Source organism: Homo sapiens, chromosome 10 (assembly GCF_000001405.40).
Source record: "Homo sapiens chromosome 10, GRCh38.p14 Primary Assembly".
Lineage (NCBI taxonomy): Eukaryota > Metazoa > Chordata > Mammalia > Primates > Hominidae > Homo > Homo sapiens.
In genome coordinates this window covers 4,018,595-4,032,352 of record NC_000010.11, presented here as the reverse complement: position 1 = coordinate 4,032,352, position 13,758 = coordinate 4,018,595, and the positions used below count along the sequence as shown (strand labels likewise).

Genomic DNA, 13,758 nt, shown 5'->3' with positions numbered 1-13,758 from the left:
GGCATCTGATTGTCCCTATAGTCAGTGCCTCTCTTGACCCATTCCTTTCCTAACCCTTACATGATCTGGTTTGAGTTATATGCAACCAAAGAGACTTGACTAGCACACCTTCTGCTGGCTCACTCTCAGCCTAATACCACCACTACTAAAACTCATAACACTCTGTTTCAACACAGAAATAGAAATACTTACAAAAATATGTTGCTTTGACTACCTCCATCTCTATGCATTAGAATGCATAATATGAAACTCTATATGATAAAGTATATAAAATGTCCAAGTGACATTTCATTCCAACACAGAGCTGTCTTTTGGTCCTGATTTCGAACGCACAGTGCCAGCCAGGATGCAAACTTTGACCCCTGGGGTACTCCTCAGCACTGCCTCTTCTCACTGTCCTGATTTGAACACTTGGCTGGCTGGAAACCCTCTTAAACAATGGATAAATGAGATTCCCCAAACATGTTTAGCTCAGCTTCCTAAGAGTGTAGAAATATGATTCTCTAATACTGGACATCAGATTCAAAACACAAACCAGTGAGAATAGAATCTCCTTATGGATCCCTGTTAATTAAATCTACCAGTTTCCTGGTAGGAAAAGTCTTATGGAGCACAATTTTAGCAATTTACCTGAAATTTAGCAATTTACCTGAAGTCTCCAAGGTGGGGAAAAAGACGTGGCAATGGCCTGACTTAAAACAGGTAGCAATCTCCCAACACGCTGAAAATCCCTCCAGCTTGATTTTCTGGCCTCCTGAAAATCCTCTCTCAGATACACTGTGCAGTCCTCCAGATGAAGCAGGAATTCAGCTTGTTAACATATAAATCTTTGTGTACAAAGATGATTGGAACTAAATAATTATTTTACCCTGAAGATATAAAGGTATTACAAAAAGCAGATATTTTTCTTTATGTAGGGGTTAGAGAAAGTGAAAAAAACTAAAAGCATTCAATATTCTGTCTGACATATTAAAATGTGGATGCTTAAATTAATATGGGGTAAAAAGTAAAAGACATATGTATGTGTATATATATACGTATATATATATACGTATATATACGTATATATATATACGTATATATATATACGTATATATATACGTATATATATATACGTATATATATACACACACACACACACACACATGCACACACACACATATATTTTTTGAGACAGAGTTTCGCTCTTGCTCAGGATGCAGTGCGATGGCGCTGTCTTGGCTCACTGCAACCTCTGCCTCCCGGCTTCATGCTATTCTCCTGCCTCAGCCTCCTGAGTAGCTGGGATTACAGGCGCCCACCACCATGCTCAGCTAATTTTTGTATTTTTAGTAGAGACAGGGTTTCACCATGTTGGCCAGGCTGGCCTTGAACTCCTGAGCTCAGGTGATCTGCCTGCCTCTGCCTCCCAAAGTGCTTGGATTATAGGTGTGAGCCGCGGTGCCTGGCCAAGAGACAAAAATATTAAGGAAATAATTTACCTTTGAAAATATATCCTGACATCGGTTTTTTCCTTTATTTTTCTAAAGAGATCAACAATGACACAGGAAACTGCTTTGACATAATCAACAAACTAGAAATTGATGTCAGTGGTATCCTTTTTAAAATGACTAACTTACTTTCAGTGATTTTAAAATTGTTTTCTTCTATATTTATCATAGACTATTATTCCTAGTGCCTGCCTAGTCCCTATTACTAGAATTTAATCAGCAAGCTTTCCTCCAAATTAGGCAGTATATCCCATTCATTTCCAATAGATACATAAAATCAAAATGGGTCAAATTGTGCAGCTTATTGCTTAGTTTATAATAAATATTTCTATCTGTAGGCAGCAATCATGATTTAGAAACAGAGGCACATAGTACGTAACAGCAAATAACTAAAATAAACTAAATAACCCTTCAGTTCATTTCTTGGAATAAAAGTTTAACTTGAGATCTCCTCGTGTGTAATATCAATTGCTTGAAAATGAAGAGAAGAATATTTTTACAAAGAATAACTTACGGTTTTAAATAAGGTATTGTTTCTATTAAAGTGGACTTAATTTAAAGTTATAAAAATTAATTCAAAAATATTTTTTCCTCTTAAGAAGGAATCTTCCTATTGCATCACTCTATCAACAAATGGAAGAAATAAACTAAAATAAATATGGATTCCACAGTGTTTACATGCAACTTAAACACAGCATATCATTGTCTGGTAAAATATTTGTAGTGCCGATCAGAGTACAGACTTGAGGATGCTACTTGAAATAAACAAACGCTTATCTAAATCTCGGAGGCCTGCAAAATTAAGTTTGGGATTTCCCAGCAGCGGGGAGCAGGCTTCCTACAAGCGTCTGGACTTGGATCTGCACTTGGGACCATGAATCTCTGGAGCCTGGCCTACTGGACGCAGATGTCACCAACGCCATTCTGCCTTCCTCACCGTCATCAGAGGCTGCTGAGCAGTAGTGCCCTGCTTTGCACCTTCAGAGATCAGCAAATAAGGTTTATTGTGCAGGACACAAGCTTCAGCTGGTGTTTATCGGTCGCACTAAGCCGCGTGAGATGTTCTCAGTTCCTATTGCTCCTTCTGCAGTAACTATTGATGTGCAATTTCTAAAGCTCATCTTCAAAGTACACGGCATGGAGTCTGAGATCCTTCAAACAACTTCTCCCTTTCGCATTCCTCACGCCACTATTTCTAGCAGGCAGTTACGTCTAGTCTCTGAGGTGGACATGTAAAGGCTCAAGGTCTCCGATTTCCTGCGACGGCCTTCTCTTTTGATGTCCAAATCAAGATATGAACAAGCCTTTGAGGACCACTGCATAAGGCTGGGCCCTGTCAGTTCATTCAAGTACCTCCATTAATACTTGTTGAGCAAATGTATAATCTACCCATTAATTAGGTTCCATGCGGCTAAATCAGCAAAGGTGAGAATCTGTAGAGCTGACTTAGGCCGCCCTTCTAAGAACCTGGTTATTTTATTGCTGACATGCAATTTCTAGTTTGCTTTTGTTGCATTGGGTGCTGACTAAAACGTTCGTTTTTAAATAAAAATACATAAGTGTTCTGACTTTTCTCAATTTACTTCTTCAAGGCAATACAGTAGAATACTATTACTTGGATTTTTAAGTAAAATACTATAAAAGAAGAAAAAACAAAAAGAAAAACATCGTTCTCTAAAAACAAAACAATTCTATTCAGTCACCACCCCTGCTTTCATAAGGAGGCACATATGTATTTCTAGTCACCAATGTTGACATTATTAAAAGTTTTCCATTGTCATTTTCTATTTTGAGGAAGAGAAATATTGTGCAATATTTATCATTCAATGCAGCCAATGCTCAAGTGTCCAGCTCAATAGCCCTTCAGCTCCCTGCATAGTGGTCCCTGTAGCACTTCACATTTAAAAACTATTCTATACGTTAAATCAGTTCATCACCATCAGAACCTTAGGAGGCCCAAAGAATACTATGCCCCAGGGCACCTAGCAAACTGCAAAGTACTTGAATTAAATTATTTCCCCTGAAGCAACCACCATTGCACCTATGCCATGTGATAACCTGATCAAAGAGATTTGTGTTTCATCAGGAGTCAAGGATAAAATTGGTAACGGATTGAGAGATGCTTGTGAGCAGTGTGCAGTAATAATTAGGAATGAAGTAGTTAGCTTTTTGTCACTTGGATGATCAGCAATTGGCCGCTAGATGCTTTTGAAGCAACAGTTTATTTGTATGTCATAGATCTTGGTGAAAACAATCTCACTGGTATTATCAGTGAGCAGATCTTTCAAAAATGAAATGGGAGCCCCATCAATGAGTTGCACACACTACCCTTTTAGGACAGAAGGGAGACATACACTTGGTGTTTTGTGCTGAGGATATTTGTGATTGTGCCAGGAGTTCAGAGCTGTAACTCATTGCCATAAAACCCCATGTTTTTTCTTACAAATAGATGGGCCAAACCAGCATGCTCACTGTTTGTAGAATACTTGTAATTGTTTACACAATCCTTGTAATTTCTTCCAGTGATGAGGGATGATGTTCCCCAGCGGAGAGAGGAGGGAGAGGCTGAACCAAGCGACTGTGAGGTGTCTCAGACATTCGTGCAGCAAACGTGGTACCAAAGGACTCACACAAGGTCTTCTGTGCACACAGGCACCTGCTCAGTCCTGTTCCAGGGTCAGGTTCTGGGCATAGAGACAAGAAGCAGATGGGACTGGAAGCTATGACTGTTCCCTCCCCGTTCCTTCCAACTCCTGCTCTAACCACACACCCTGTGCACTGTACAGATGCAGAGATGATGTCACCACTGTGGGTGTTTGAACACTGGATCCAGAAGTGGGGATGGCACTCAGGTCCCCCACCACCATCCTTGCCTTGGGCACCTTCCTTGTTGAGGTCCCCATGATGAGATGAAGAAAAGCTTCAAGGACCAACAGTGAGCAGAGATGTTGGGTTCACCCACTAACCCATTTCTCTGCCCCTGAGTCAGATTCCAGTTCTTTGGCTGCCTGCACCAGGGGCACCAGGCTGCCACCACCCAGCAGGCTCATCAGCCTCAGAGAACTATCCAGACCTGAGAGTCCCAAAGGGCAATTCCAACAGGGAAACCTGTAGAACCAGCAATGATTTAAAACAAAAAAAAAAAAAGCAAATAAACCCCTCAGAAATGCAGGCCGTTTCCTCATCTTCATTTTGGACCTGTCTTCCTTGCAAATTCCTTCCAAGAAGAGAAGACTCTTCCCGCTCTAGCTGTCTCTGCTTTGCCGAGGTTACTTGGTCATTGGTGGTATTACCCACTTCAATACGGAATTAGCAGCAATGTCTCCTCCAATGTGTACTTACAGAGAATGACAAATGCTTCATGTGAATACAATAAGAAAATGCTTGTGTACTTTCAGCACCTAGCACCTGCCCCTGGGGAGTGCAAATGAAGTGGTACAGTTCCCCCGATTTCAATAATTTATTACATCTTTGCTATAAATGAATGAAGAGGAAAGCCACTCATTATCCATTTTGAGACGTGAACAAGGACTAAAGGCAGAGCCATGGGCTGCACAAAACAAAAAATGATTGGGATTGGAACCTTCGGCTCTCAGATGTTTCACCTGAGAGTGCTCTTCCAGCGCCCAGGAGCCCACGGCAGCAGCGTGAGCCGAGTCACGCACAGCCACCCTCCTAGGAACCTGATATTTTAAAATCACCAAGGATTTTAATTAAAAGGAAATTCCATGTACAAAAGTAAAATACATATTTCCTTTTTATTCTCTCCTCAGAAGGATCTCACGATAGAGCTTTGTTCAATTCTCTTGGGGTATCTTTAAGACATGAGTCACAAGTACGGCAGGAGAGCCTCCTTTCTGTGATGCTGTTGGTCTGCAGTGCTCACGTGCAACGAGTGAGCCCGTCTTTCCCAGCGAGGGCCATGGGGGCTCTTCCTGTGTTTGCGTCCCTGCACTGAAGCCATAAATGCACTGCCATAGCCATTCATTCCCACCTATCCCACTCGGTGTTCCTGTATCTGAGTTTACTTCTGCAGCCCCTCAAAGGCTCTTGGTATGTCCCAGAGTGAGTTAACTTGCTGTTGAAAGTCTGGATGCATCTGTTGAAGGTAGCTGACCTCTTTTCTGTAACTACCCCAATGTCTCCCCATCTCCTACCTCAGGACGCACATGTTATCTCGTGGCTAGTCCATTCAGAAAGCCTATGGAGGTGGCTGCCAGCTTAATGAATTGAATCCTAATAACCAAGGAGAGCTCAACATTTGAGAAATTAATATATTTTCAATCATCAAGGTCTACATTGTACCAAATTGTGTTTGTCTAGTGGCTAGGATTGATATTAATGTTTGAGTAAAACTAATTAGATGAGAAAGAGAAAGTTGAAAATGATCAGCATGAAAACTGACTCACTGGAGAGATCTCAAGCCAAAGGCATCCTGAGAAGATGTTTCTGCACTGGCCATTTCTAACTATCTAGCATGGACTGAAGTATCATGGTAGCAAGGGTGAAACTATGTTTTCAGATTAAACAAAAGAAATCCATGATAATATTGTCCCACCCCGTTAAATATTTTGCTACTGAAAAAAAAGATTTTACCTACAATAAAACACTCAGGTGAACCTTTTTTATGCAAAATGGACAGAGTCTTAACCTAAAACACCTAAGTATTATTTAAATTTCTTATTTTATTTTATTTTATTTTATTTTATTTTATTTTATTTTATTTTATTTTATTTTTTTGAGACGGAGTCTCGCTCTGTCACCCAGGCTGGAGTGCAGTGGCCTGATCTCGGCTCACTGCAAGCTCCGCTTCCCGGGTTCACACCATTCTCCTCCTGCCTCAGCCTCCCAAATAGCTGGGACCACAGGCGCTCGCCACCACACCTGGCTAATTTTTTATATTTTTAGTAGAGATGGCGTTTCACCGTGTTAGCCAGGATGGTCTCGATCTCCTGACCTCGTGATCCGCCCGCCTCGGCCTCCCAAAGTGCTGGGATTACAGGCGTGAGCCAACGCGCCTGGCCCCTATTTAAATTTCTTATGCTTCTTATGGATAAGTCAAAAAATATATCTTTGATTCTGAACTTAATAGAGCCATATGGCCAATCATAAAAAAAATACACCTCTCTCAACATTTTTACTGAGGAGGAGCAGGTTGAGGAGCGTGGATCCAGGCTAGCCCTCCTGGGCAAGCCGGGCAGAATCTGTTCAGGAAACATCTCTTTAAAAATAGCAGCAAGAGTTTCCCTTTTCATTTAGACATTGGTTTACCTACCCTCCACTAACAGCCTGTTAAAATACCATCCAAATGACTGACATATTTGCAAAAATCATTGCAGTTCTCAGCCTCGTGGGAGGCCTCACTGAGAAAGCAATATGTGGCTGTCTTTGAGGTAAAGGCTTACCTAGAACCTCAGACCCAACGCTGGAAGATGCCACACACCCCAGGAACAGAGGGTTGCCCTTCTAGGAAGTGCCATTTCCTGTCTGTATCCTTCTCTCTCACCTGAAAGAGCCAGAACAACCCAGGGAACAGGGGCCGCCAGTCCTGCAGGGAGTCTCCTACATCATGACCTCATTACGTGCCTGTCCCCGAAGCTGTATTACTTTGCTCCCGATTCCCAGATTCTGGCCTATGTTTTCTTCATCAGGTTTATCTTGATGCCTGTCATGCAGTATTCCTTGAAAGTCAGCATCCCTCAAATTCTTGTCATTCCCAGGAGAAATGGACTGTGTTTCAACAACCTCAGGCACCTTCTATTACGTGGAGGGAAGGAGAAAGCCCGGCTCATTCACACACTGCTGTGTCCTGTTTTTGTCTGGGCTGTGCGACCTTTGACAGAGTGGTGGACCTGGGCCATGTGGGAGAGGGCCCCACAGCTGCTCAATGGGAGTGACACAATTCCCTGGGATGTTGGAGCCAGGCTGCCACGGAATGTAGACTGGGACCCAGAGCTGATGTCACAACCACAGAGTTCACTATTCATTGAACGCAGGATTCTTAAGTTTCCATCAGGGTTAAGGCGCTGCACAGAGACTCCGAGAGTAAAACATGCAATAGAGGCACGGCTGTTCGCTGAGCCTACCCTGCAATAGAAGTGCGCAGGATTAAAATAGAAAGAAGCGCATAAATAGCAATTTGAGGGACCAGACGGTGCATGATGGGAGCATGCCAGAAAAACAGAAAATCGCTGGTGTTCCCTCTGCACAGGCCAATACATAGGTGCTTGTGGATAGTCTACAGTCAAAATGCTGGTTCCCAATTAAGTACATTCATTATTTAGGGATCTAATTAATTTAAGTCGTATTAATAAATATCTGTGCAATCTTAACTTGGACAGGTCACTTAAACTCCCTGGTCTCTCTTACCTTCTCTGAATAAGGATGTTAAAATTGATGAGCATGAAATTTCCTTCTAACATTATGATTCTAAGATTCAGCAATAATAATAGAAATCAAGGTGATTATCCCTGATCTAATTAAGGTGTAATTAGGAAGCAGACGATGTGCCGGTGGTGATGGCGGCTGATGGTTTCTCTGCCTGCTGAGTGTCGCGCGCGTACAACTTGCTCTCCGAAATGGATTTTGAGTTTGGAGTAGCGCGCTGATTGCGAGACATTGTTATTCTGAACCCCCGTGTCTGCTAAGTGGCATTCAATTAGTCACATGAAATGCTGACTCATCCACCGTCGAAGTCTTCATTCAGAAGAGAAATGTCCATTCAAGCCAGATTCAGCGAAATTCGTAAGAAAAGAAGTTGACTGGGGTTTTCGGTTCAGAATGGAACAGGCAGGAAACTAAGAACATGCTTTGCTTATTTCAGTCCTTTAAGAACTTTATTTTTTTCTTTGGAGATTGTACATATACACGTTCACTTAGCACCTATACATTTATAGATTTCGATTTCATCATGATAATTTTGGAAAATCAAGGGGTAATGGGTTTCCTTTTAAAAAAAGAAATGTAACTGTGGAAAAAAAGAGATATATCTCATCTCTGAGAATCAAATTTACTTGAGGTTTTAGAGAATATATACATTTTTAATAATTAAAAAGTTATATTATTAGTTAGAATGCAAGTTTGGCAGAAATATTAGGATAAAGCAGGAGACTGTGGAAACAATCTCTTGTGGCCGACGACACTGGACCCCTTCACCGTCCCCCATAAGACGTCTGTCCAGTTTTGTCAGGAAAGCCATCGATTTGCTCATTAGAAGCTGCAGCTCAGTGTGTTGTCCTGAGAGAGCTCTGCAGCTGAGATGGCAGCTCTCCCCTGTGGGCTGTCTAGTGAGCGTCCGTTCTAGTCTTGGTGGCTGCTGAGAGAGGACATGCAGAGTCCTACCTCAGTGTGCAGCTGTGCCATTCACTAGCTGTTTGCTGGCTTGAATATTTCCAGCTGTGGATTTTGAGGCATTTGTGATAGGGGCACATTGTCATATAGAGGAAATGGTTTCCTGGATCTCTCCAATAAAACCTCCTGAGCACTAGTCTTCTCTATCTACCAACAAAAGATTCTCCAAAGCACAGGTTGTTCATTGTCCAATAATAGAGAAAAACAATTTCAACGAATAAAAAACACTTTATGTTTTATCTTGCCGGTAAAGACTTTCCATTTTAGAAGGCGCTTTTATATTATATCATCATTACCTGAAACTTTGGCTTACTTTTATCTGCCAAAAGAAGTGCTCTTATTTTAATTTGTTCCAAACCTATAGAAATTAGTCCATTTCCCACTATATCCTCTAATAATAAAGCTATCTCAGGGTACGCTTTCCTTTTTTTTTTTTTTTTTTTTTTTTTGGAAACAGAGTCTCGTTTTGTCATCTGGACTGGAGTGCTGTGGTGAGATCTTGGCTCACTGCAACCTTCGCCTCCTGGGTTCAAGTGATTCTCCCGCCTCAGCCTCCCGAGTAGCTGGGATTACAGGTATGTGCCACCACGCTCGGCTAACTTTTGTATTTTTAGTAGAGATAGGGTTTCACCACATTGGTCAGGCTGGTCTCGAACTCTTGGTCTCAAATAATCTGCTTTTCCTGGCTGGGATTACAGGCGTGAGCCATCTCGCCTGGCCTAGTGTATCCTTTTCTGTGGTTTATATGACAAATGTTAGAGAAGTCATGACCTCTCACCCCACTGGAATACAGCCCAGTTTAGAACGCAATTAACTTTCCTATTCCTAGGCTGTAAGAAAAGAAAATCTAGTTAAATAAGAAATGTCCAGAGCCACCTTGTAAATGTCCAGATTATTCCTTTTTTACCACCATTTGGGTACTGAAAAATTTATGCAAGCAGCAGACTCTGTGTGACTCGAGTCCTTAAAATGCAGTCTTTTTACCGGGAAACCAGAATGTCCTCTGCTGTGAATACAGTGTCGTTTCTCACTGTGCAACACTTAGGATGCACATTTTGTTTACATGTGCCGTTTCACATCTTCAAATAATAATATAGAATAGTCTATCTTCAGTTCCAGTGAAAATCATGGTCTAGGCTAGTATATTTATCTAAATTAGGGTTATTTGATTTCACTGAGGTATATAGTAAAGAGACAGCCACAAATCACATTTAAGAGAAAGCAGAAAATTGAATGGTTGTTCCTAACGTTCACGGAAAATGACAGGGTCTTCATAGACCACCCAACTTTCCGGTCCAAAGCAGGAAGAAAATTCAGTTTGTCAAACACTTGGATACTGATGCCAATTTAAGAAACTTTCAGTGTTTTTGAGCTGTGTTACAATTGCTCTATTTTTATGGAATTTTTGAAATTACCCCAAAGGAAACATTCTGATTACAGGTATTATTTATCTAGGCCTAGATGGAATAATAACAAATTCAAGGAATTGACAAGTTAGAGGAAGTAAAGATTGTCTTTTATTTATTCCCTTTCTGACTGATCATCAGAAACAATTTTAAGTTAAGTAAATATCTAAAGATATAGCAAAAATGTAAATGGCCAACATGTTCAGGTTTGTGACTGTGTACTTGTCTCTAATTGTCCACTGTTAGAAAAATCATCTTCCCATTTCTTCCTTTACCCTTTGGGTGTTCGCCAATAGGTCATTGGAGAATGAACGTTAGACCAAGTCAATGTCCAGGCACCTTGTTTCCTTTGGGAATCTGGCCTTATCTGGCAAAAATCCGCAGGTACACAAATTTAAAACTCTGGTGCTCAGACTTGGCCTCAGTCATCCTAACTTCAGTGGCACCAGTTCAAATCTCTCATCCTCTCTCACTGCTGAGACCACCTGAGCTACTACCCTTTCAATATGGGCTCCATTTTCTCTTCTCACCTTCAATCAGTTCCTTCTATGTTTGGTTTCACTCTGGGCTATTGCTTTCTTCACCTTCTCTCCCATTTAGTGGTTCTGCAGACAGTCTTCTCGGTTCCATCCTATGACTTAATTGGTCCCTGAAACTTTCCCTCTATGAAAATTGACTCAGGATGGATTAAAGATTTATATGTAAGACTTCAAGCTATAAAAATACTAGAAGAAAAGCTAGGGAAAACTCTCTTGGACATTGGTCTAGGGAAAGAATTTATGAGTAAGACCTCAAAAGCACAGGCAACAAAACCAAAAATAGATAAAAAACTTCTGTTCAGCAAAATAAATAATCAGCAGAGTGAACAGACAACCTGCAGAATGGGAGACAATACTTGTACTCTATGCATCTAATAGGGCACTAATATCCAGAATTTACAAGGAACTCAAACAACTCAACAACAACAACAAAATAATCCCATTGAAAAGTGGGCAATGGACGTGGACGGACGTTTTTTAAGAGAAGACACACAAATGACCAAAAAGCATATGAAAAAATGTTCAGCATCACCAATTATCAGATAAATGCAAACTAAAACCACAATGAGATGTCGTATGACACCAGTCAGAATGGCTGTTATTAAAAAAAAAAAGAAAAGAAAATAACAGGTGTTGGTGAGGATGTGGAGAAAAGGGAGGGCTTAAGCACTATGGCAATGTGAGTTTCTACTCTGAAAGTTGCACCTCAGAGCACAGGCTCTGGTGTGAGCATATGTGCAGAGCCCCGTGGTGTGCACAGACTGCATACAACCACAGCGGTAAACCAAGTGACTGTGCTAATGAGGAAGCCTGGATTGTGTTAGAATGCCATTTCCAACTTTATTTTTAAATGATTGTGAGGATTTGCGATAGTATAAATGATTGCGAGCATTTGTGATAGTAACTCTTGATGATATGTTTTCTCTTGAGATGGAAGGAGGGAAACTGGCACATTAAATTACTGTTGTCAAGTTTCCTTACTTTTCAATCACAACGCATTTTGTTTTGTTTTGTTTTGTTTTTGTTTTTGCTTTTTTTGAGACAGAGTTTTTGAGATGGAGCACTCCAGAGTGGAGTGCAGTGGCACCATCTCAGCTCACTGCAACCTCCTGCTTCTGGGTTCAAGCGATTCTCCTGCCTCAACTTCCCGAGTAGCTGGGATTACAGGCACCCGCCACCACACCCAGATAATTTTTGTATTTTTAGTAGAGACGGGGTTTTACCATGTTGGCCAGGCTGGTCTCGAAATCCTGACCTCAGGTGATCCACTCACCTTGGCCTCCCAAAGTGCTGGGATTACAGGCGTGAGCCACTGTGCCTGGCCCATAAACCCATTCTGAGATCACCCCTACCTGCTTTCGAATTCATGAAGGAACATCTGTTCTAAGTTGGGGAGCACCACTGCAGGTCCCTAGAATAAGGCAGCTCCAGGCAGATAAATGGTCCCGCCAAAATTAAAGGAACCAGAAACAAACATAGTAATAAAGGCAAAGGTTTTAAAAGATTATTCCTAGAAATAAATTTTCTTTCTTGAAACTGTTTCTGAAAAATTAAAAGGGAGTTCAAGAGTCTTTCAGCAACAACTGTAGAAAAAAAAAAATCAGGCCTGTAATCCCAGCATGTTGGGAGGCCGAGGCAGGAGAATTGTTTAAGCCCAGGAGTTCAACACCAGCCATCTCTAAAAATTTTAAAAAATAATAATTAATCAGGCATGGTAGCACATACCTGTAGTTGCAGCTTCTCAGGAGGCCAAGATGGAAAGATCGCCTGAGGCCAAGAGGTTAAGGCTGCGGTGGGCCCTAATCGCACTACTGCACTCCAGCCTGGGTGACAGAGTGAGCCATGTCTCAGAAAATAAATAAATACATGAATAAATAGAAAAAAAAATCTCAAATTTTCTCACTCTTCGGTAAAATTATTAGTCTTCTGATTCCCTCCTAAGCCCTTTTCCTTGAACTTTCGTCACTCCCTGATTATTTGAATATTTTCTTTCTAAAGTACATTGGGGTTTAGGAAGTGACTGCCCACTTTTTTTTCAATTTGATGCTCATTACTTGCCTCATTCTAAAAGGGAAGCATCCCAGGCTCAGAAGGTGAGAGTTCCCAGAACAGGTGGTGGGTGAAGCAGCCAGGGAGGGTTCTGAGATTCCGATCGCGGGCCCTTGCCTCGTACTTTTTAAAGTTCTCTTGTCTGGGCTTTTGTTGAATTAATTTTTAAAAAAATTGAAATCCCAGCTACTCAGGAAGCTGAGGCAGGAGAATCCCTTGAACCCGGGAGGTGGAGGTTGCAGCGAGCTGAGATCGCGCCACTGCACTCCAGACTGGGCAACAAGACCAAAATTCCATCTCAAAAAAAAAATTTGAAGTGCACATTGTATTTTTTCTATTCTTAATTCCCGCTATTTTGGAACTTAGGATGTTTTAATTTCTCAGGAAATAAAATTTAGCACTTGCTTGTGGACCCATGGACAGTTGAAGAACGGGGCTTCCAATCTCCCTCCCTCTTCCAAATATACATATGTATGTATATACATGAGTTATATATGTATACTGTACACACAGATATACATGCATATGAATACATGTAATATCACATACATGATTTCATATATATGCTATATGTATGTATATGCATTAGTTACAGATGTATATTGTACATATATATATGCACATCATGTAATACACACACACACACTCACATGCATGTCAGGATTTTTTAATGCCAGCACTACTGGCATCATTTGCAACCAGGAGATTTCTCCTTGGGGGGGATTATCTGTGCACTGTCAGATACTCTATCCCTGGCCTCCACCTGCGTGATGCCAGAAGCATCCTTTTCCCAGTTCTGACACCAAAAATATCACTAAACATTTCCAAATACCTCCTGGGGGGGGCAAAATTTCCCCCACTGATGAAAAAGCAACTGATATAAAAGCATATTTTTTTCAAAAAAAATACGTAAAATGTAAAAAT

The 13,758-nt window shown here is 41.2% G+C and overlaps 1 long non-coding RNA gene across 11 annotated transcripts in view; it reads right to left on the bottom strand.

Moving 5' to 3' along the window:
- LOC107984195 (uncharacterized) overlaps positions 1–7,431 on the bottom strand; it is a 59,329-nt gene extending 51,898 nt beyond the window's left edge. For 4 of the 11 annotated variants that reach the window (NR_176060.1, NR_176069.1, NR_176062.1 and 1 more), the window contains exons 1-2: positions 6,997–7,431; positions 650–827 (exon numbers count right to left, since the gene is read on the bottom strand). This is a non-coding gene — a long non-coding RNA (uncharacterized LOC107984195). Of the gene's footprint in view, positions 1–649; positions 870–3,962; positions 4,175–6,996 lie in introns of all 11 variants that reach the window. The other 7 variants (NR_176071.1, NR_176063.1, NR_176070.1 and 4 more) reach the window with 5 other exon arrangements.
- Positions 7,432–13,758: the final 6,327 nt, after the last annotated feature.